Source organism: Homo sapiens, chromosome 10, assembly GCF_000001405.40.
Source record: "Homo sapiens chromosome 10, GRCh38.p14 Primary Assembly".
Lineage (NCBI taxonomy): Eukaryota > Metazoa > Chordata > Mammalia > Primates > Hominidae > Homo > Homo sapiens.
The window spans coordinates 79,048,659-79,069,826 of NC_000010.11; the positions used below are offsets into that span (position 1 = coordinate 79,048,659).

The window sequence follows — 21,168 nt, forward strand, 5'->3', positions numbered from 1 at the left end:
GGTGTCTGCCCCCCACCCTGGATGGTGGGGAAGAGAAGTAAGGGCCTGGATTTGGGAACCAGCCAGGGGCTCTCAGGTTGGTGGTTTCCTTTCCCCAGCTTTGCTGCTGACTTACCCATGGTCTTGAGCCAGTCTCTCCCGCTCTGGGCTTCAGTGCTGCCCAGGTGACGGTGTTGACCATCTATGATGACACTGTCAGGACACAATGCTGAGTTGGTAATCTGGAGGTTCAGGGTGGTGGGCTTGCTGTGCGGCTCTGAGCAAGTGGCTTCAGCTAGGGTGAACAGGGCATTCCAGCTTAGCACTGAAAGTCCCGCATCCCAGGAAACCGCCCCCCGCCCCTCCCCTACCTCGTTCCTGGGCAAACTGTGCTGGTTGGCCACCCTTCAGCCTCTGGGCCGAGACTTCCTGGATGAGCCTGTACAGGTCTTTGCCAGCTCACTGCATGGCCCCCTCCAGGACTGAGGGTCGGACTTGCCTTCCTGGACAGACTTTGAGCCTGACTGGTGGGACAGGACAGACACCTGTCCTGGTGAACCCAGGCTGCTTCTGGGACAGGCAGGCTGCATGAGCAGGTATTACAAATTGGGACCAGAGTGGGAACAGATAGAGGCGCTGGGGCAGGGGAGGAGACTTGGAGAGAGTGGTCCCAAGGGCCTGGACCTGAGGGGAGGGGTCTGATCAGCAGAGAAGAGCAGAGAACTACATTCCAGGGGAAGCCACAGATTGGGCAAAGCCTGGGAGGCCAGGTGGTAGGGCACGCGACGCCAAGCCCTGTGCTGAGCATCAGCTAGATGGCAGGCCCCAAATGGACTTCCAGGGCCTCTCAGTTGAATTTCTAAATCCACTGTCTCCACTCTCTGAATTCCTCTGGCCGTGTCCACTGCCAAACAATTTGCACCAAAAACAAACACATAAAAAAGAAAAACCCAACAAACAAGTTTCCGCCCCCCCCCTCCCGCAAATAAAGATAGACTTTGCTGGCTCGGCGCAGTGGCTCACGCCTGTAATCCCAGCACTTTGGGAGGCCAGGCAAGCAGATCATGAGGTCAGGAGTTCGAGACCAGCCTGGCCAACATGGTGAAACTCTGTCTCTACTAAAAACACAAGAAAATTAGCTGGGCATGGTGGCGGACGCCTGTAATCCCAGCTACTCAGGAGGCTGAGGCAGGAGAATTGCTTGAACCCAGGAGGCAGAGGTTGCAGTGAGCCAAGATCTCACCACTGCACTCCAGCCTGGGCGACAGAGGCAGACTCCAGATTCCGTCTCAAAAAAACAAAAAAAGATAGACTTTTCCCAGAAACTAAAAGCCCCCAAGATGGGGCTCTGAAAGTGGATGGCTATGCTCCCATGCCTCCCTGACTCTCTGTGCAGCCCAGCCAGCAGGGGCAGACCGCCCCAGGCAGAGGGCCTGCTTCAAATACCCTCAAGGCCTACCCACACCAAGGATGCAGATTGGCTTCTCCAGGCACTGCCCACTTGCTCAACCTCAGCCCTGCGAAGCATTTCACCAACTCCCCTGGTGGCAGGGAGTCACCTGCCCATCCTAGTTGTATGTGCCCAAGAGGCCTTGTCCCCAAGCCTCCACATCCTAGCTAGACAGCCCTAAACAAGTCACTTACCCTCTCTGAGCCTCAGTGACCTCATCTGCTAAAGAAAGATTATGGAGATTTCTGCCCACCAGCAAGCGAGTCATCAGTTCTGCAGCAGATGCCAGCTGGGTGTCCCCTAATTCAATTCACTTCAAACACCATCCACCTGGAGATAGCATCAGATCCCACAGGGTGAGGATTCAGTCCCCTAACTCTGAGCCCCACTTCTGATGCCCACCGCAAACCCCAGGTTATTCTGCCTGTGCTTCTGACCGTTCGTCTATGAATCGGGGTTCCCACAACCCCCTGCTTGGGTCTGATTAATTTGCCCGAGCGGCTCACAGAACTCTTGGAAAAATGTTTACTGGTTTATAACAAAAGATATTTTAAAGGATACAAATAAACATCCAGATGAAGAGAGGCACAGGGCGAGGTCCGGAAGGGGTGCTCCCATGCCCTCTCTTGGAGTGCCACCTTCCAAGTGCCTCCAAACGTTCAGCTGTCTGGAGGCTCCCGGAACCCAGATTTGTTGCGTTTTTATGGCGATGTCATTATGTAGTCATGATTGATTAAAACATTGGCCATTGGTGATCAACTCAACCTTCAGCCCTTCTCCCCACCCACCCCCAGATGGGGGAGGTGGGGCTGGAAGCCCCAACCCTCTAATCCTTGGTCTTTCTGGTGACCAGCCCACATCCTGAAGTGTCCTAGGAGCAGCCAGCCAGCAATCAACTCATTAGCATACAAAAAGAAACTTATCACTTTGGAGAGTCCAAGGATTTTAGGAGTCCTATGCCAGGAAATGGGATGGGAGGAGGGGGAAACAAATATGTATTTCACCATATCTCAAGGGTAATAAAACATGCCTTGGGCAGTCTGGAGACATGGTGAGCTCAGAGGGTGAGGCACTTCCTGGAAGCCCAGTGAACATATTTGTGCCCCTCTTCTGGAAACTGCAAAACCCCCCAGAAGGTGAGAGGCAAATTCACTGAGCGCAGTGAAAGTCAGCTCCACTCTTGCATTGGGAGGAGGGGAGGGGCTACAGAAAATGGGAGTAGGGGTGCTCAGAATAAAACTGTCCCTGTCACAGTGGCTGCTCAGCTGGTCTGTGGCCTCTGCTGGGGCCAGCGCTGGACCTGCCCTGCCTTCTCCCCACATATTTGCTAAGCATCTTCAGCCTCCTGCAACACAGGGTCACGTGGCACGATTTCACCCACACACGTACATGCCGCCTGAGTTACAGACCCCCTGTACTCCATTTTCTCACTGACCCTACGGAAGGTCTTGGAGTTCCCATTATTTGAACCAATAAACTGAGACTAGGAGAGGCAAGGCAGCTTCACCCACATCCCACCATGCAAAGCAATTCAAGCACTGAAACTAGGTCTAAGAGGTCTGGATTATTTTCACCTTCCAGCGCGTGCAAAGGAACCCAAAGCAAAAGTCTCCGGCAAGAAAGGGGTCTTTGGGAGCCACCAAGTTTCTGAACAGGGGAGTGGTGTGATTAGGTGGGCCACAGAAAACTGCACTGAGGACCTTGAGCCTGAGGACAGCAAGACTGGCAAAAAGGCCATCGTAGAAGTACAGGCAACTGGGAGTGCGGAGGCGAGTGTGGGGTCAGTGCTGCTATGCCAGATCACCACGGGTCTCCGTGTCAGCCTGTGTGTGGCCTCAGAGGTGGGCAGAGGAGCAACAGAGGAGGAGTGGGTTGGGATGTGGAGGGGATTTAGACGGTGCTCACGGCCTTCCACACTGACTGCCAGCTTTCATTCTTCCAACACGCCCTGCAGTGGGCCCACCTCCCCAGACAGGAGCAGCGGGAGGCTCAGAGGCAGGCGTGACTCCCCCAGTGAGAGGCAAGCCCCCAAGGCCGCCGCGGGACTGTGCCCGCTCCCCATCACACACCAGGCTCCTGTGCCCACCACTTTTTTCTAGGCTGATTCCCCATGCCAGCTTGATGAACAATCTAATAAAGGGGGCAATCACATTATTCCTGAATGCATTTTAATAAAAATCAAATAAAAGCAATTATGTGAATTTCCAAGAGGATCACCTCTTCTCCTTTCCCTGAGGTAGGAAACGGAATGAATTCAGGAAATCATTAAAATCAGAAACCCGAGCTGTGTGCCACTGCCGCGCTGGCGGCTGCTACACAAAGGCAGCAGGGAAACCCAGTCCCTGGCGGCAGCACGGGTGCATTTCTTAGCTCTTTGAGTGGAAATTCCACCTATGGGTGAAGAAGGGTAATTAAGGGCCAGGAGAGATGCTTTGAATGCAGGCTGCCTTTGCCCCTCCAGTGCAAACTTCCCAGCTTCAAAGGGGACTCAGACTCCCTGAGTGAGAGCTCTCCAACCTGGCTGCTGGGGGCCTGGCGGGGAGGGCAGGGGCAGGGCTCGGGAGAGGGTCCCCAAATGAGTGCAGCTCTCCCCTGTATGGGGGAAGTGCACCTCTCAGCCTGACTGGAGGCCAGAACGCTGGGTGTGAGTGCACAAGGGACCCACTGAGAGTTGGTAGGTACCTGTTCCTCCCTCCAGCATCCCCAAAAGGGACACAAGCCTTGTGATTTGCAAGGCCCTTCTGATGTCTCATTGGTTATTCTGTCCTCCATGTGACCCTGGGATTGATGTGCTCATTTGGGGCTGAGGCTGTTGCAGCCAGAGGCAGCCAGGGACATGCCCAAGGCCAACCAGCTGGTGAGGCAATGTCAGGACTGGAATTTGGGTTCGAAATCCTGGGGCCACGAGGCAGGCCCAAATCCTGTGGGTCCAGGTGTTCTGGACACAACTTGGCTTGGCCACACATTCTTGCTTACAAGAATAAGCACTGACCACCCCAACTGCCATTTCCTGGGCCCTGATCCGAGACAATGCCTCCCTCTCCAAACATCATGAAGTATGTTCATCTTTTCGGTACAGGTTAGGGACTAAGATTCAGCAGGATGAAGCCTCCTGCCCACAGCCCACAGCTAGAAGTGAGGAATCCTGGATTCTGCCCTGGGCTGTCACAGTGTCCATAGCCAAAGATTCTAATGGCCATGCCATAATGCCATCCTCTTCCCAGAAAGGGGCCTTCACTCAGGGTCTTCCAGGTTGCATTTGGGTGCCAGGCAAGGAAAGACAGGGATCCTCCAGCCCCTATATTCACGCTGGCCGAAACTCCATGTCATCCTGCCACCTTAAGGGTGGGCCAATAGTGGCCCAGAAGGGAGCACCTGATCATGCCTCAGATCATCCTCCTCAGCCACCAGGGTCCTAATTCTCAGACTCGGGGGGCGGGGGGCGGGGAGGGCAAGAAGAGACAGGAAAGTGGGCAGCCTGAGTTAAAGGAACAAACTGGGTCTGGGAGGGAGAGGGCCAGCACTCGCCATGGGCATCCTTAGGCAACTCCCATCACCTCTCTGGGCATGTGTGCATGTGTGTGTATGTGTGTATGTGTGCATGCGTGTGTGTGGTATGTGTGTTGGGGGAGGGGTGGCCCGGTCCCCAGTTCAGACATGGGGTAGTGCTGTCCTACACGGTCCAGTCTAACTCAGGTCAGAGCTTCCCTTAATTCCTCCTGCTGCTAACAGCTGTGATGCCCTCCTACAGGATGCCCAGGGAAATGCCCCCCAAAAAGTGTGGTTTCCAGTAGGGGAAAGGAGGGTGCAGGAGAGGATTCTGGGTGGGCCCTGTCAATGCCAGTTTTCTCTTGAAGTAGGGGTTTCTGGCACTTAGGATGGAGAATTGAGCACCGGACTGCTGGTCTCATTGTCCGTCCCCTCTGTTGACTCAACAGGTGCCCCTCTCAGGCATCAGGACCTCAAAGTCCTCCTCTGGGAAGTAGAGGCGGGGGTGCCTGGCCTTGGGGGCTCCTGTGCAGGGGGACCAGGACAGAAAGACACTGTGTGAGTGCTCAGTCATTCCTGTCCCCTAGGGGCCAGCTGCCCTGCGCACTGCTCTGCCCCAACCCCTCAGGTCTTGCACACAGCAGGCACTCCATAAATGTGCACTGTGAGATGTTCAGAGAGAACACAGGCCTGTCCAGGAGGGGGGTTAAAAGCAGGAAAAGGCAGTGGCCCTGCATGCTTCGCAAGACCTATAGCCTTGGCACCCCGTGTATGCACACGTGTGTGTAAACACGTGTATGAACGTGAGCACTCCTGCAACCACGCCCACCTTTGGGCACACCCACTGGCCTGATCATGTGCCTGAACAGCAGACAGGTAAACAGCAGGCACAAGCCCCAGGCAGTCTCCCCACAGACTTGCCTCCAAATCCCCAGTCCACACAGAACTTGGAGCAAACTGGCTAGGACCCTGGAGGTCCAGGCCCATGGGGTTTCACAGGGATGCCCATCTGCTGTCACCTGCATGCCGATTCTATCTTGGTCACTCTGGGAGCTTCTCCTCCAGGTCTGACACCCAGCTGTGCCTGGGATCCAGGATCAAGGCTGTTCTTCCTGCCCTGGGATAAGGGCTGATAGAAGGATGCCCAAAACTCTGTCAGGGGAGAAGAGGACAGATCCAGCTCTGCTGGGGGAGAGGGGCAAGGGGTCACAGGGAAGGCATCTCCAGAACGAAACCTTGGAGTTGGACCTGGAAGAAGGAACTGGGTTCCCACAACAGTCTAGCGAAGGGAATTCCAGGTGGAGGAATGGCTTACGCAAATGCAAGGCAGCATGCCATGTTCAGAGAATGCCCAGCTGCCGGAAGGCCCCCACCCTCCTTCTACTGGCCGTACCAGGAAGAAATGTCCTGTTTCAGGGCACTCACTGGAATGAGGGGGCCAAACAGAGCACTCACAGCACTGAAGCGAAGAGGCACATGGGGTGCAAGTGGCTCCTCCAAGTTCTCTCTCTATCCCTTTAAATAATGCACTTCCCCTGGGAATGAATAATTGGGAGTGCAGAATAGAATGCAACATCTCAAAAGTGCAGTTAGCAGCTGGATGTGGTGGCTCACACTTGTAATGCCAGCACTTTGGGAGGCTGAGACGGGAGCACTGTTTGAGGCCAGGAGTTTGAGGCCAGCCTGGGCAACATAGCAAGACCCTGTCTTTGCATAAAAATTAAAAAAAAATTAGCTGGGCATGGTGGCATGCACCTGCAGTCCCAGCTATTTGGGAGGCTGAGGTGGGAGGATCGCTTGAGCCAGGAGATCAAGGCTATAATGAGCCAGGATCACATCACTGCACTCGGGTGTAGGTGACAGAGTGAGATCCCACCTCTTAAAAAAAAAAAAGTGCAGTGAGTGAAGGGGTCTCCACACAGGTGCTAAAACTTTCTGTTAAAAAGAGGCAGGGAGAGGCTGGGCGTGGTAGCTCATGCCTGTAATCCCGGCACTTTGGGAAGCGAGGTGGGTGGATCACCTGAGGTCAGGAGTTTGAGACCAGCCTGGCCAACATGGTGAACCCTCATCATTACTAAAAATACAAAACATTAGCCTGGCGTGGTGGTGCACACCTGTAATCCCAACTACACAGGAGGCTAAGGCAGGAGAATCGCTTGAACTCAGGAGGCAGAGGTTTCAGTGAACCGAGATCACGCCACTGCACTCCAGCCTGGGCAACAGAATGAGACTCCTTAAAAAACAAACAAACAAAAACAGCAGAGAGTAATGACAATTAGGATAGTGGCTCCTTCTGGGAAGTAGGGGGCTGGGAAGGTCGGAGCTTCACAAGTGTCCCTAATACTCTAGTTCTTCAGCAGAGTAGTCATGAGCATTCATTGTAATGTTTCATGGCTTACAAATAGTCTTTTATATGTACAAAATATAATGTAATAAAAAACTTTAATTGTGTTTATGTCCAAGTTTATGGGGCTGTTCGAGGCCCAGTTGGCTGAGACACCGCAGGGCGATGACCTGAGCTTGGCATCCTCATAGGTGCTGGCACCCCTGCTCTGGGGCAGTGTCAGGGCCTGGACCCTTGTCTGAGCTCCACTGGGTCCATAGAAGAGTCCAGTCATTTCTGGAACCAGATGGAGCATACAGGAAGGTAGGAGATGCATGTCCAGCCAATTCCCTCTCTGTGTGGGATTGGGCATGTCCTTCCCCTGCCTGGGTCTCAGTGTCACCCCCTACAGGGAGGGGACTTTGGCCACCTGTGTCCTGGATTTGGTCAGACTTCACCACTCACCAGATAGTTACACAGGACTCTTTCCCCACCTATAAAGTGGGACTCATAAGAGCATTGCTGAGGACTGCATGAGGCAATGTATGTTAAGGCGCAGTCCCTGGCATGTCATGAATACGCCGTAGATGCTGGTTTCAAAAAAATCACCAGAACGAAGACCCACCACGGAAACAGGGCGGGGTTGGAGTCTGGAAGATGTGTGCTCCCAGCCTGGCTCCACCTCTCAGTGGCCAGAAGCCTCCGGAGACCTTTCAACCCTGGGCCTCACTCTGCTCTTGTGCAAAATGGGAACAGCAGAGCCCCCTTTGGAGAGGAGAAGGTCGGTCAGGAAGAAAGAGGATGAGTCTGGTGAAGGAGAGTGTGTTGCCCACAGCAGGTCAGTAACCAGGGCTATAATCCCCCAAGCCCCTCCCAAGGGCGAAACCCCAGTCTGCCACATGGAAGGATGTGCCCCAGGCCTCACCAAGGCAGCCCCTAATCTCAGGCCAGACCCAGCGCCTGCTCCTGCTCAGAGTTAGGGGCTGGGGCTAGAGAGATGGATCAAAGGCGGAGAAAATTAGCATGACAGTGAACCCAAGAAGGGAGGCCAGGATTAATTCACTCTCCTCTCCCTGCTGTCCCTTCTGCAGCCCAGGGAGCCTGCCAGGGTTGCAGGAAGGGTCACCTTTTACCCCAATCCCCTACCACACACCTGAGGCCCAGTTCTTACAGAAGACGGCAGGGCAGGGACCTGCCATGAGAAGCGGATCCGCTGTGCACACATTCCAGAGCCGTAGTCTTGAAGGGATAGGAATGAAGGCACCTGGGCAGAAGGGACATCTGCAGAGGCTGGAGCCTGGACATGGGTCCAGGGGGTGCACTGTGAGTCCACAGACCCCACCATGTCGTGTCAGGCACACTGGAGCCCGTGTGAACGCGTGGGTGTGTATCCGTCATTCTGGGAATGGGACTTGTTGGTGCTTGGTTGTCAGTCTGAGGCCCAAAGCCCACACGTGCCCTATGTGTGCATCTGCGGCAGGGTGGGTGTGGTGCCTGCAGATGCATTTGTGGCTCTGAATTGATGGTTGTGTGTGCAAAAGTGTGAGCCTTGTGCCTATGAGACGTTGGGCAGCCATGGTGTTGAGTGTGTGGACATGTAGGCGCCTGTATGGGCAGAGGGATGTCAATTGTGGTTCTGCAGCTACCTGAGAACCTTGAGATGAGCAGAAAAGAAACGTGTGAGAGGGACGACTCACAATGGTCATAATTTCCCATACAGAAAGGGTGAGAAGGCGGTTCAGAGGCCCATCCCTTGGGCCCGCCTTCCTGGCTCCATGGGCTATTCCCATCCCTTAGACTTCGCCTTCCCTGCCGTGGAACCCTGTGGAACACCTGGCTTACCCTCTCTGTGCCTCAGTTTCCTTATGTGAAATGAGGGAACTCACAGCGTGGCTGTGAGGACTGAACTAGTTAGTATGAGGGAAGAGCATTTAAAACAGCCCTTGGAACATGAAGAGTGCTCTCCAAGGGACATGGCTGGGCTCAACTGGGTTGGCCAGAGGAACAGGATCTAACCCAGAACTATCCTTGCAGAAGCCCAGGAGGAAGACTGCTTTGAGGCAGCAGAGTCAGGCAGCCTTGGGAAAATGCAGTATGGGGTGCTGGAAGAATCCCAGCTAGGGCCAGCTTAGCAGACCTGGATTCACTGGCCAAGCACACAGGGCTCCTCGCACCACCTCCTTCTCTCCCAGCTTCCCACTCTCCCTCCCCGCAGTACCTTTCCCCCATTTCCTGCCCCAGGAGCGTCAGGCCCATCCCCACACAGCCCTATCTCATCCTTTAATCGGCATGCAAGGTCCACCCTTTATGCCCATTCTGAACTGGAGAAATTGAGGCTTGAAGAAATGGAGGGATGGGACTGGCACAGCTGAATTCGGGAACCCAGGACTTTGGAATCTCAGAGTAGCTTGCAGAGAAGCAAAATGCCAATATGGCCCCGAGGGCAGCACAGGTGACTCTCAGCTCTCCTGGGCCTGCACTGGCTCTCAAGGCCCCTGAAAATGTCCTCCATTCCCTATTGAATCACAGACTGGGAAACCAACATGCCCCTCCCCAAGTTCACAGTCTCTGCTCCATCCCACCCACCAGAACCAGTGAATATGTCTAGTCTGACACCTAGGTGAAACCCTAATATACCTCTCCCATGTCTACAATTTTGGTCCTCCTGTTCGCCCTGCCTTGTCCATCCTCATTTGGTGGCAAGCGCCACCTCTCCGGGAAGCCTCCTCTGATTGCCTTATTGATTATCACCTTCTAGTCCCCTGGCCTCCAGATACCTGGGGACACTCCTTTCTTCAGCACTAACCACTCACCTGTTAGGATGTCCTAATGCGCAGACCAGGGTCTTCCTTGTATCACTCCACCCCCACCCTGCAGGTCAGGGCAAGGATGCTCAAAGGCTGCAGTGAACCATGGGCACATACACTCACACCCCTCCAGAAGCCATACTATTCAATAGCTAAGGCTTTGAGGTGGATTTTCTTGGATTCAAATCTCAGCTCTCTCACTCACTAGCTGTGTGACCTTGGGCTTGTTACCTAACCCCTCTGTGCCTCAGATTGCTCATCTGTTAATGGGAATAATGCTTCCAATGCCACAAGGTTGTGAGAATGAATGAGCTAACATATGTAAGCTCTTACCTTATGTATGGTATTGCTGTGTAAGTGTTGGTCATTGTTATTAATATTGTTATGTTATTATTACCAGGAGGCTACAGAGAAGTATTGCACACAATCTCTGTCCCCAAGAGGATGGGAGTCCAGACAGGAGCAGGAAATGGGGTTGACATTTCTAATCCTACCAGTTGCTCAAAACCACATTGGAAGTAGTTATCACCATCCCCACTTTACAGATAAGGAAACTGAGGCTCCCAAAGGTGTTGTGAGCTCCCCGAGGGCTCACAGCTCTGAGTCGCAGGGTTGGGATTGAGGGCCAGGTCATGCGGCTCCAAAGTCCACGCTCTTTCAACAGGCCCACGTTGCCTCTCAGTCTGGCAGGGAGATAAGCCGTGTACACAAATAGCTGCAATCCCAGGTAGAAAGTGATAAGTGCCAAACAGGGGCGATAAAGGCTCTGGGAGGGGAGGAGACTGCCCACTGCGGGAGGGGCTAGGGTGGGGGTCAGGACAGGCTTCACAGAGTGGGCAGCATCTCTGCGCAAGCTAAGACATGGGTCGCTGAATCCACAGTATCTAGCAGTGTCTGACATTGTCACAGGGGCCCAGGAAATATTTGTGAAAGAAAGAGAGGAAGGAAGGGAGGTGAAGAGGGAGAGAGAAAGGCAGAATGGGAGGGTGGCTATGCTCTGACCCCATTTGGCCCAGGAACTTGCTCCTCTCACAGGAAGACATAGTCAAGAGCTGCCACCAATTAGAGAAGGCCTTCATGGGGTCCCCATTGTCCTGTGACACCCCAGAGAAGTAGTTCAGGACTTTCAGGCCAGAGTTCCTGACAATCAGATGTTTTGCTCAATACCAGAAAGAACTTCCCAATGAGTAAAGCTAGACAAGACTTCTCTGCGGGGCAGGGGAAATGGTGTGTTGGAGCCTGTTCATATGGCTCACAAGGGCCGATTGTTAAATTTTCAGGAACTGCGCGAGCTGGTTGATGGAACCAACCAGCTGTGCCAGCTGGCTCTGGTCGGCAGCTTGAAACTGGCCATGGTGGGGGTATTTACACCGTAGACATCGGCAAATACTACAAACCAGGTTCTCCCCACTTTGGGGAGCCAGCTGTTAAACATTTACCAGCACACCACTGGCAGAGGTCTGCTATGTGAGGGAGCAAGCAGCCCGTCCCTGGAAGAGTACAAGCAAAGACAGTCTCCTCCTGGCAGGAACGAGGCTAAGGGGTTCTTTCTTAGTGAAGGGCTCAGAGCAAATGATCTCAGAAGCCCTGTTCTGGCTCTAAGAGCCTAGGAAAAGTCGGGTTTAAGAAAAAAAACTAAATCAGGATAATTCATGCCGGGAAATCATGAACCACTAGACCCAGAGACTGGGAGTAGGGAAGAGACCTGAGAAAATGTGTGAGGGGCCACATGCTTGGATTTCTCAGGTGGAAAACTCGGTCCAAGGTGACATGGAGAGTCAGGGGCAATGCTAGGACTAGAACTTATGTCTCTGGCTGCCCATCTCACGGTTCCTTCTAGGACATATGGGCTGGGCAACTAGGAAGAGGGGGATCTTTCTGCACGAAGTCTGGTGTCTGTCTCAGAATATAAGCTCTGCAGCAGTGTGGACCAAATCTGTTTTGTTCACTGTTGGAGATCTGGCATACAGCAAGTATTTAATAAATATTCCTTAAAGGAATCGATGTGTCTGAGATCCTGTCTCCTGGCAGCATTTGGTCGGGTGGAGGTGGTGGGGGCTGGGAATGTCATCCTCTGACACCGTCACTTCCTGAGTCCCCACTGCAGCTTAGTGACATGGAATCAAGAGACCAGGGTTCAAATCCCAACTCTGTCACCTCCTTTGACCTTGGCCAAACCATTATGCCTCCTGAACCCTTAGTTTATTCTTCTACGAAGTGGGTTAGCAATCCCTGCCTGCCTCTTGAGGCTGCTGTGGCACTTGCGTGAGACGTCAAGTACTTTTTACAAACTAAAGAGCTGTGTCCACAGGAGGAAGGGGGTGCCAGGAGAGCTGGCTGTGGTGGCAGTGCCAACCCAAGGGTCCCTGGTGGACACTGGACAGTGGCCAGGATGCTGCTCTCTTAGAACTGCTGCTTGGGGTAATCTGGGTCAAACTAGCCAATAGCCTGTGGAGAGGAGGTCTGAGTACCAGACAGCTCACGAAAGGGGCAGGAAGCAGAGGATGAAATGAAGATGGTAAGGGAGAGTTGGAGAAGTCCTTTTTCCTCCTAAGACCAAAGGCAGAAGGCAAACTAGCAACTTAAAAAACTGTTTTTGTCTCTGTAGAGCTGTTCATCATGTTCCCCTTTCCCCCACAAGACCTTCACTATTGCAAGAGGCCTTAATGTGTGAGCTGAGGACTGGCACCTGCCAAGTCAGGTGGGGGTGGGGTGGAAAATCCTCATATGTCCTAGAATCAGACAAGTGTTTCAAACGATTTTGGAAGAGGGATTTGTGTCGCTCTCCCAGACAAGCATCCCAAGTCCCCTCCTGGTAGGGTGGGAGGACAGGCTGGCGGGGAGGGAGGCCCAGCGCACCCCAGGCTGTGAGTGGATGAAGAAGGAAAGCAGGGGGTGGGGGTGCTCCTCCAACCCTCCCCCAAGTGCCATCTGATTTTTGCAAAGAGGGTGAAGGCAGCAGGAGGCTCAGAGCCAGGGCCAGGGAGGCAGGTGGAGAGGGTGTCCGTGGAGGGGCTGCACCGTCAGCCTGGGCCCCCAGTGGAAAGCAAAATAGAAAGGCCCTGTGTCAGCAGCCAGGCCCCTGGGCAGCCGGGCTCTCGGCTCCATTCTGTTCAGTGGGATTCTGGTTGGCACCAGCTGCAGTCAGGAACAATGCCTGGATTTCTTTCTTTCTTTCTTTCTTTTTTCCATTTTAATAGAGGGGGGAGAAGGACCAGAGCCACTCATTGAACAGCTCAGAATTGTGGAGGCATCTGGGACCGTGTGTCCTTGAAAACAGCACAGTCGCAGGGGCCCCACAGCTGGCTGCAAGGTGCAAGAAGGCATGATACACTGGGAGCTCCAGGTCCCAGCCCTGCTGCTGTCTCATACTTGCTTGCTGTGTGACCTTAGGCAGGTCCATGCCCCACTCTGGCTTCCCCACAGCCCCACCAGAGCTTGCCTTCCAGGACCCACTCAATGCCAACTCTTCTTCTTCCCCGAACTCTTAGAATGGCATTGGGTGGCCGGGTGCGGTGGCTCATGCCTATAATCCCAGCACTTTGGGGGGCCAAGGCGGGTGGATAATGAGGTCAGGAGATGCAGACCATCCTGGTTAACATGGTGAAACCCCATCTCTACTAAAAACACAAAAAATTAGCCGGGTATGGTGGCATAGTCCCAGCTACTCGGGAGGCTGAGGCAGGAGAATGGTGTGAACCTGGGAGGCGGAGCTTGCAGTGAGCCGAGATCTCACCACTGCACACTCCAGCCTGGGCGACAGAGCAAAACTCTGTCTCAAGAAAAAAAAAAAAAAAAAAGAATGGCATTTGGTGTGGGCAGTCCTTCCTGAGAGACTGTGAGCCCCCAGAGGGCTGGTTCTGGTCATCCTCCATCCTGTGGGCCTCTATACCTCCCCTGCTCCGGATGGCCTGTCAGCCCCCAAGGCCTTGCACTGGGTGATGGGATGTAGCAGTGAGCCATCCTATGACCTGCAGCCTTGACAGAAGAGGGCCATGTAACACAATACCTCCCTAGCCTGTGAGGTGTCATACTAGGAAATGAAACTCCCTGTGCCTCAGTTTCCTCATCTGTAAAATGAGAATACTAATAGCTCAGAGGATGGGAGGAGTTCATGTGTATGAGCTACTCAATGCCTGGAACATAGCAGGAACTTCACAAGTAATTCCTATGGTTATGCTGATGTTGGAGGCTGGGAGAGCAGCATATGGGGGTTAAGACAAGGAAGACGGCACATCTGGTGGAGGTATCAGGGTAGGCTTCCAAGCAAGTGGTTGCAGATGTGGCCTTGGTGACTGGGAGGGGTGTGTCCCAGGAGGTAGGAAGAGCATGAGCAATGGCACAGAGGTAAGAGTATGTACATAATGCTGGCAATTCTGGAAGTCACCCTGCATGGCCACAGGATGAGGTGAGGGCAAGGAAGCATGAGTCTTGAGGCTGGAGGACTGCACAGCCAGAAGGAGGAGAGATGCTGAGGATCTGAGACCTTCCCCCACCCCTCTCGGGGTGCAGGAGCTATCAGGAAGGAAGTGGGAGGCATGGTCCTCCTCAGGTCGCTTGTCCCAGACTTCCTCATCAGTGCCGCATGTACTTGCTCCTCTGGAGGGGCCCTGACGCAGGTGAGGGGACACTGCATGAGGAGATGTGGCTCTTGCACCCCCTCTTGTCCCCCCACCGAGTTGCTGGGACTACAGGCATGTGCCACCATGCCTGGCTGAGACCTGGCTCTTGTTCCAGCTCTGGTGCTTCCCAGTGGTGCAGTCAGGGAAAGCCATCACCTCCTTTTGGGGCTCAGCTTAGTCACCCACAAAAGGGCTGTTGTGAGGCTCAGAGGGTGAGAGGTGCCTCATGAAGGGAGGCGTTAGGGTCATTACCTATTCACAGTCCTAGATAGTCACAGTTCTGAGCAGCTCCCTCCAGGTATTTTCTTGTCCCTACTCCACTAAATGGCCCCCTCTGAAAGCCCTCCCTAAAGCAGGGCCGCCCTCAAACTCTAAAGTGAACTGTAGCTCAGTCCAAGGGTTAAAGGCTCAGACCTACAGAATCTTAGGACAATCAGAGGCAAAAGTGCTGGTGGATATCCCACACTCTCTCACTTGGCAGATGGGGAACAGGCACAGGGAGAGTTTGTGATGTGCTCAGGCCACACAGCAAGTCAGGCAATGGCGGGCTGGGCACATAGGTGTCCCGGCTCCTGAGGCAGGCTCCCAGCCTATTCTCTTGTGACTCCCATCTGAAGAAGGGGTTGGTGGTTGAACTGGGTCTCGAACCATAGGGCAGAACTCCATGGTAGAAAGTGAGAAGACGGCTGGCTTGAGGGAAGGACATTGGAGAGTCAAGCCTTGGAGGATGGGAAGGTGTGGGCTCAGAGAATGGAGGGGCCATCTGATTGGAAATGAGGGGGAGGCAGAGCAGGGGAGCCTAATTCGCTGAAGGACATAGATCTTCCCTGCTTGACCCAACCACTCACCTCTTAGAGGCACAGGGCTCAGAGCTGGGCAGGGCCCAAATGCTTCCTGTATCCACCAAGGGGTGAACTCTAAATGTAATCTCCATTACCTCACTGCCATGGGAGGCACCCTGGTCATTCCCTGGCAAGTGGGTGAGAGTCTTTACTTCACCCCAAAGTACCTGGTAGGTTACCTTATCTGCACCATAACCTGGCAGTGAGATGAGGGCAAGTCCCTATTCTCAACCTCAAGGCCCAGCCCAACCTGGAGCCCAATCTCGGCTCCACCCACTTAGCAGCTCTGAGATCTTTATTGTTTTGTTTCGTTTTTATGAGACAGGGTCATGCCCTGTTGCCCAGTCTGGAGTGCAGTGGCACAATCATGGCTCACTACAGCCTCAGCCTCCCAGGATCAAGTGATCCTCCGACCTCAGCTTCCCAAATAGCTGGGACTACAGGTATGTGCCACCATGCCTGGTTAATTTTTGTATTTTTTGTAGAGGCAAGGTCTTGCTATGTTGCCCAGGCTGGTCTCGAACTCCTGAGCTCAAGTGATCTACCCTGCCTTGGCCTCCTAAAGTGCACAGATTACAGGCATGAGCCACCATGCTCAGCCAGCTATGAGATCTTGAGCAGGTCACTTAACCTCTCTGAGCCTCTTCCCTTAGCAGGGAATGACACCTGGCTTGTGGAGAGAATACAACGAATGTTTCCAAAGTGCGTGGCATACAGTAAGTACTCAATGAATGAGATTTTCTTCCCACCTCTCTAGTCTCAATTTTAGATGTTCCCTGGCTCCCTTAAGTTCCAGAAGTGAGAGGTGGAGAGTGGGGACAGAGAAGGCAGCTCCTGGACAGGTGGGAATCCCCACTGTGTACCCGCCCCCATCCCAGCCCAGCCTAGGAGGCCATACTCGCCGCACCCTACACAAGTCCTTTGCTTCCCTCAGGGACCTCAAGCCTCCCACCCCCACCATCCTGCTGGCCTCCAGATTTTCTGCCTCCTGAAACCTGGGCCCAGGCCCCAGCAATGGTCCTCTCCCCAATCTGCTGGTGGCTCCCACAGGACAGGGAAATTAACAGCACTTGAGTGTGCTCTGAAGGTTGGTACAACCTGGCGGCCCCACACTGCCCATGCCCTCCTAGTGGAGCCAGGTGACTTCTGGGCCTGCAGGGGCTGAGCAGGATGCATCTTCCAGCTCTGGGCCACGAGGAAGTGATGGCACTGTCCTCTCTTGTCTCACCAGCAGATCTCCAGGCCCAGTGAGGCTGAGACTTTGGGGGTGAGGTTGTTGGACACACAGTTCCCAGTGAGTCCTGATGGCACCATGGACCTTACAGGGGCTCAGAGGGGGAAAGCAGCTTGCTTGGGGCTACACAGTCTATGGATGAACAGAGCCAGGGCTGAGGGGACAACAGGAAACTCTGTTCATGGGGGCCCGAGTTCCCATCCTGACCAATCTTGGGCAAGTCATTCACAGTTGAGTTTCCTCTGAAAGGGGGATGGTAGCGGCACCTAACTTAAGACAATGTGACAGTTCAATCAGGGAACTGAATTCTCAATACCTAGGAGGACCCACCACAGTACTCACCACATAGTAGACAGTAAATAAGTCATAGCTTCTTCCAAGACCCCAGAGGTATCCAATCTACCCCATTACCTCCCTGGAAGATGAACAAAGAGAGCAAGGGCCTCAGAGACCCAAGGACTGGAGCCTAGGGAAGACCCAGGACCCTGGTGGGCTTTCTGACTTGCTGCCATGCTTGCACAGAAGGGGAGGGTTGAAATGATCCCTGGTTCCATGCTACTAAGTTGAGCCTACTTGGCTCCTCTGCCCTCTGCAGCCACTTCCTGGGTTTCAGATGTAAATACTGGTGGGAGAGTAGGGGGCTGGGATGTGGGGTAGGGGGTGGAGCTTCTGGACAGGAGACTTTGAACATGAGTGGTCACCTCCGAGGTCACCTGCATCCCCCAATTCCTGGAAGTGGGCAGGCCCTGGATACTTATTGAGGAATCTGGACAGAAAGGTTGAGAGGGCTGGGCGTCCAGACCTAGCTGGTCATTAAGGCAACAAGAACTGGTCTAATTGTGGGCTGGGCTGGATTATCACATCCCAAATCCTTAAATACCCAGAAACTCTCTTTTGGGATTTTGGACCTGGGTATGGGGTGGCTGCTGCCACTGCTGCAATGCTGTGGATTGCTGGGAGTGGGACAGCTGTGGCTGCAGCCACCGTTCTGCAAGCTTAATTCCTACCTTCGGAGGTTTCTCAGGTGGCCCTGGTGTACCTACCTGTGAACTTAGGCCACCCACAGGCTGAGGAGGGGCTCAATCACACAGCAATGTGCTGGGACCATGACTCCCTGGTGTCCCTAGAGGTCTGGAAGTGCTTTCATACCACCCACCCTCTCCAGGGATGCTCAGCTGCCACCTACAGGGAGGGCGGGGGTGGAAGAGCAGCAGTCATCACAGTCCATGTCCATGTGACAGGTAGGAAGACTGAGGCCCCAAAGGAGTGCCTTTTCTTGCACCCAATGGCATAGGGAGGCAGAATTTCCCCTGGGGAAAATAAAATAACGCCCCCACTCCGCCGCCTGCGCCCCCACACACCCCGTCCCCCACGCCCGGGTGGACCTAAGCAGCAGTTTTCTGAGCTTTCAGGAATTCCAGACTGAGTTCACTGGCTGTGAGACTAGCGGAGCCTTGAGAATGAATTCAAAGCTGGCAAATTCATTTTGCCTCCTCTCCCTCGGTGGTGGAAGGAGTGATCTCTCCGGCTCTGAAGGAGTTCAAGCCGAGGTCAGCGAAGCCCTCAGAAGGATGTTCTAAAATGGGGGTGGGGGGTAGTGCTCCGGCCTGCTTCCCCGGTTGGCCCAAGGTCCGCGCTGATCACCGCCCAAGAGGCCCAGGAGACCCGCAAATCTGTGCTGCACGTCCGCACTCCCATGCGGGCCTCGTCAATCAGGAGGCGGCTCCGGCCAGGCCTGGACATCTTCGGCCCGCCCCAGGCCCCGGGGGAGACCCCCGCCTGGGCCGCCTCCGGGTGCCCGCCCCCCGGCGGTGTCATTGTTCTCTGACGTCACGCCTCAGCCCCGCCCCTCTCCCCCCACCCTTCCTCCCCCACCTCCGGCTCCCCGCGCCCCCGACCCTGCAGCCTCCGAAGCCCCGGCCGTGCAAGGCTCCCCCCGCAGCCCGGCCGGGGCTGCGCCCCCTTGCGCTCTCCCCAACTTGCCTTTGTTATTCCAGCTCCCTTCCTCGCCTCGCCTCCGACACGGTGGCAGCCTGCAAAACGTGGAGCGCGGAGTCACTGCCACACCTGGAATCCGAAGCGGGCTCCGCCGGCTCCCGGCCGAAGCCGCCCCCGCCTGCCGGGGAGGGGAGCGCGTGCGTGGGCGGCGCGTGTGTGTCCAAAGAGGGCTGCGCGGGCGCCAATTATGATTGGGACTGGGGGTGCCGAAAATCAGGGGTGGGGGGCCTCGAGGAAGGGGTATGGAAGAGGAAGTGGGAGAGGAGGGCGTGTGTTTGTGTGTGTACGTTAACGTGAGGATTTAGTGCCCAGGGGAACGTTTCGTGTTTTGTTTTTTGATTGTATGTGGGGTTGTGTACAGCGATGTGTGTGTGTAACTGCGTGTCTCTGAGCGTGCCTGCTGTGGCCGTGTAAGCGGGCATCTTTGTGAGGGAAAGTAAGCGAGTGTGTGGGGGCGCGTTTGTGGTTTGGGGGGGAGCGTGTTTGCAATGCTGAGGGAGCGAACGTGTGTGCCGTTCTTGTAGGAGTTTCCGTGAGAGTGGCAGTGGACGTGAGCCAAAGTGGGCGCGTAGTTGGATGCTCTCGGGGGGGGGGGGTGGGTCGGCTAGGGGAACTCCCGCGAGTGGGTGCACCCAACTGCGCCTCGTGAGTACCTTAGCTCTCCGCTATCTCTGGCAGTGCCCAGTCCGGGGCAGAGGGCCAGGCCCCAGCCTAGCAGCTCCCACGCAGCCCGCGCGCACAGCGCCCCGGGCGCTCCGCGCCGGGCCTAGGGGAATCCACGCGTCTCTGGACTGTGCTAGGTGCCGCGGATCAACTGTGGCCACCACACCCCCGCTCCCCCACAGCTGTCGGGGGGCCGCGCTCTAGTCTCCCTCAAAGTCACCCTTGGTGGTGGTGGTCCTCTTCCCACCCCAACCACCAGTCCCCGGGCTGTAGGAACAATTCCAAAGTCAACCCCAGGGGAAGGCTTTGGAGGTCCAGTTACCAACTCGCTTACCCCAATTCGGGTACCTGACAGCGCCCGGGGCCACGAGTGCACTCCAGGCGGGGGCGTGCCAGCGCGGGGCAGGGGCTCTCGGGTGAGCAGTGTGATTTTGGCTTCCTCCCCAAGGTGGTCCCTACCTAGGCTCAGCATTTGTTCCCCTCTCCAAACTTACTGGGGCTGGGGCCTGCAGGGGGGCTGGGGGCTGCAGGGGGCGTCAGGGAGTAGCGGAGGGAGTAGGGCAAGGAGAGAGGTGAGTGGACTGGTGGCGTAGCGGGGAACCAGGAGCCAGGAGAAGAAAAGCTGGGAGAGCGCCGAGACCGAGGAGCGAGGAAGAGAGGAAGAGAAAGGAAAGGAAAGGCGAGGGAGAGAACGAGGAGAGGCGAAAAGGAAAGGGGAAAGAGAGCGCAGAGCGCGAGCCAAGCCGAGCGCCGGCAGCGGCGGCGGCGCGGCGCGGCGCTCCACTCCGGCCTGACTCCGCACCGGCTTTTGCGGGCGGCCGGCGGCGCGGGGCCCTTTGGAAATAGAATAGCCAATGTAATCTGACACTTCAACTTGCTCGGCTCCGGGCGAGTTGATTCACTTACTCACCCCCTAACGCCGAGTTCCTTTTCACTGTCTGTGGACATTAAAAAAGCGAGCGGCGGCGGCGGGCGCCGGGGAGAGCGGGCGGCCGGGCGGCAGGCGGGCGAGCAGCGATCGGGCGGCCGAGCGAGCGAGCAACGCCGGCGCAGCGCGGTGACCCCAGCCCCAGCCGGCGCGGAGCAGGAGCCGGAGCCGAGCGGATCTCGGCGCCCTCGCTGCGCTCCTCCCGGCCCGAGCCTGCCCTACCCGGCGGTGGCGGCGGCGCGTCCTCCAGCGGCGGCAGCGGCGCTCGCAGCGCCCGGTAAGTTTGGGGCCAGAGCCAGGCGCCCGCTGGCTCCGGGGCTACCTCCCGCTCCCCGGGGACTCTCGGGGTGCAAGCGTGGGGATTGGGTGCTGGGGTTTTTCCCTTAAAGTGTCCCCCGGAGCGGGGCGACCGGCCGGCGGCGCGGGCTCCGCTCCGCTCTCCTTGGCGGCCGGGGGCCGAGGCCCGGCGGCCGGCGAGCTCCCGGCTGCGCGGAGCCGGCTTGGGCTGCGCGTGGGGGCCGGGTTTGTCAGGGTGTGCGGGGCGTAAGTGTGGTCGTGCGCGCGCGGACCCGGTGCCCGCCTCCTGCCGGCGCGCCTCCAGCCCTCGCTCCCTACACCCGGGGGCCGGGCAGGACCGGGAATCGGAGGAGGGAGGGAAGGACCGCCTCGGTCTCCTTCGCCTCCTCTGGGGAGATGCGAAGTTGTGCGCCTGTGTGTGTACAGGAACCGCTGGGGAAAGCGCTGGATTTCAGGATGGCAAGGGGTGGTGGTGTTAACTTGTGCGTCTGAATTTCCAGGGAAAACATACACTTTTGTAAATGGGAGGTGGGGGC

General features: G+C 55.8%; 1 protein-coding gene and 1 long non-coding RNA gene across 14 annotated transcripts in view, besides 10 other annotated features; one reads left to right on the top strand and one right to left on the bottom strand.

Annotated features, from left to right (window-relative positions):
* The window catches only part of ZMIZ1-AS1 (ZMIZ1 antisense RNA 1), a 124,123-nt gene extending 105,333 nt beyond the window's left edge, over positions 1–18,790 (bottom strand). The window contains exons 1-5 of one of the 3 annotated variants that reach the window (NR_024431.2): positions 18,730–18,790; positions 17,790–17,928; positions 17,089–17,161; positions 5,938–6,070; positions 116–274 (exon numbers count right to left, since the gene is read on the bottom strand). This is a non-coding gene — a long non-coding RNA (ZMIZ1 antisense RNA 1). The remainder of the gene's footprint in view (positions 1–115; positions 275–5,937; positions 6,071–17,088; positions 17,162–17,789; positions 17,929–18,729) is intronic. The other 2 variants (NR_024429.1, NR_015429.1) reach the window with 2 other exon arrangements.
* Positions 204–886: an enhancer, noted in NCBI's record as "H3K27ac-H3K4me1 hESC enhancer chr10:80808619-80809301 (GRCh37/hg19 assembly coordinates)". NCBI's record gives its function as "activates a minimal SCP1, AML or CMV promoter by ChIP-STARR-seq in naive H9 embryonic stem cells {active_cell/tissue: H9 hESC(naive)}" and the evidence as "EXISTENCE:reporter gene assay evidence [ECO:0000049][PMID:30033119]".
* Positions 5,738–6,237: an enhancer, noted in NCBI's record as "H3K4me1 hESC enhancer chr10:80814153-80814652 (GRCh37/hg19 assembly coordinates)". NCBI's record gives its function as "activates a minimal SCP1, AML or CMV promoter by ChIP-STARR-seq in naive H9 embryonic stem cells {active_cell/tissue: H9 hESC(naive)}" and the evidence as "EXISTENCE:reporter gene assay evidence [ECO:0000049][PMID:30033119]".
* Positions 18,349–18,558: a silencer, noted in NCBI's record as "silent region_2523". NCBI's record gives its function as "represses an Ori minimal core promoter by ATAC-STARR-seq in GM12878 lymphoblastoid cells {active_cell/tissue: GM12878}" and the evidence as "EXISTENCE:reporter gene assay evidence [ECO:0000049][PMID:35858748]".
* Positions 18,599–18,648: a silencer, noted in NCBI's record as "silent region_2524". NCBI's record gives its function as "represses an Ori minimal core promoter by ATAC-STARR-seq in GM12878 lymphoblastoid cells {active_cell/tissue: GM12878}" and the evidence as "EXISTENCE:reporter gene assay evidence [ECO:0000049][PMID:35858748]".
* Positions 18,749–18,958: a silencer, noted in NCBI's record as "silent region_2525". NCBI's record gives its function as "represses an Ori minimal core promoter by ATAC-STARR-seq in GM12878 lymphoblastoid cells {active_cell/tissue: GM12878}" and the evidence as "EXISTENCE:reporter gene assay evidence [ECO:0000049][PMID:35858748]".
* Positions 19,222–20,067: an enhancer, noted in NCBI's record as "H3K27ac-H3K4me1 hESC enhancer chr10:80827637-80828482 (GRCh37/hg19 assembly coordinates)". NCBI's record gives its function as "activates a minimal SCP1, AML or CMV promoter by ChIP-STARR-seq in primed H9 embryonic stem cells {active_cell/tissue: H9 hESC(primed)}" and the evidence as "EXISTENCE:reporter gene assay evidence [ECO:0000049][PMID:30033119]".
* Positions 19,222–21,068: a biological region, named in NCBI's record as "H3K27ac-H3K4me1 hESC enhancer GRCh37_chr10:80827637-80828482". NCBI's record gives its function as "regulatory_interactions: PPIF".
* Positions 19,759–19,828: a silencer, noted in NCBI's record as "silent region_2526". NCBI's record gives its function as "represses an Ori minimal core promoter by ATAC-STARR-seq in GM12878 lymphoblastoid cells {active_cell/tissue: GM12878}" and the evidence as "EXISTENCE:reporter gene assay evidence [ECO:0000049][PMID:35858748]".
* Positions 19,941–20,626: a transcriptional cis regulatory region, noted in NCBI's record as "chr10:80828356-80829041 region (GRCh37/hg19 assembly coordinates) targeted for CRISPR interference". NCBI's record gives its function as "negatively regulates PPIF gene expression in THP-1 monocytic cells {active_cell/tissue: THP-1}" and the evidence as "EXISTENCE:mutant phenotype evidence [ECO:0000015][PMID:33828297]".
* Positions 20,089–21,068: a silencer, noted in NCBI's record as "silent region_2527". NCBI's record gives its function as "represses an Ori minimal core promoter by ATAC-STARR-seq in GM12878 lymphoblastoid cells {active_cell/tissue: GM12878}" and the evidence as "EXISTENCE:reporter gene assay evidence [ECO:0000049][PMID:35858748]".
* Positions 20,308–21,168, top strand: part of ZMIZ1 (zinc finger MIZ-type containing 1) — a 247,554-nt gene continuing 246,693 nt past the window's right edge. For all 11 annotated transcript variants that reach the window (XM_047425538.1, XM_047425539.1, XM_005269988.4 and 8 more), the window contains exon 1: positions 20,308–20,612. The gene's annotated coding sequence lies outside the window, so the exon portion shown is untranslated. The remainder of the gene's footprint in view (positions 20,613–21,168) is intronic.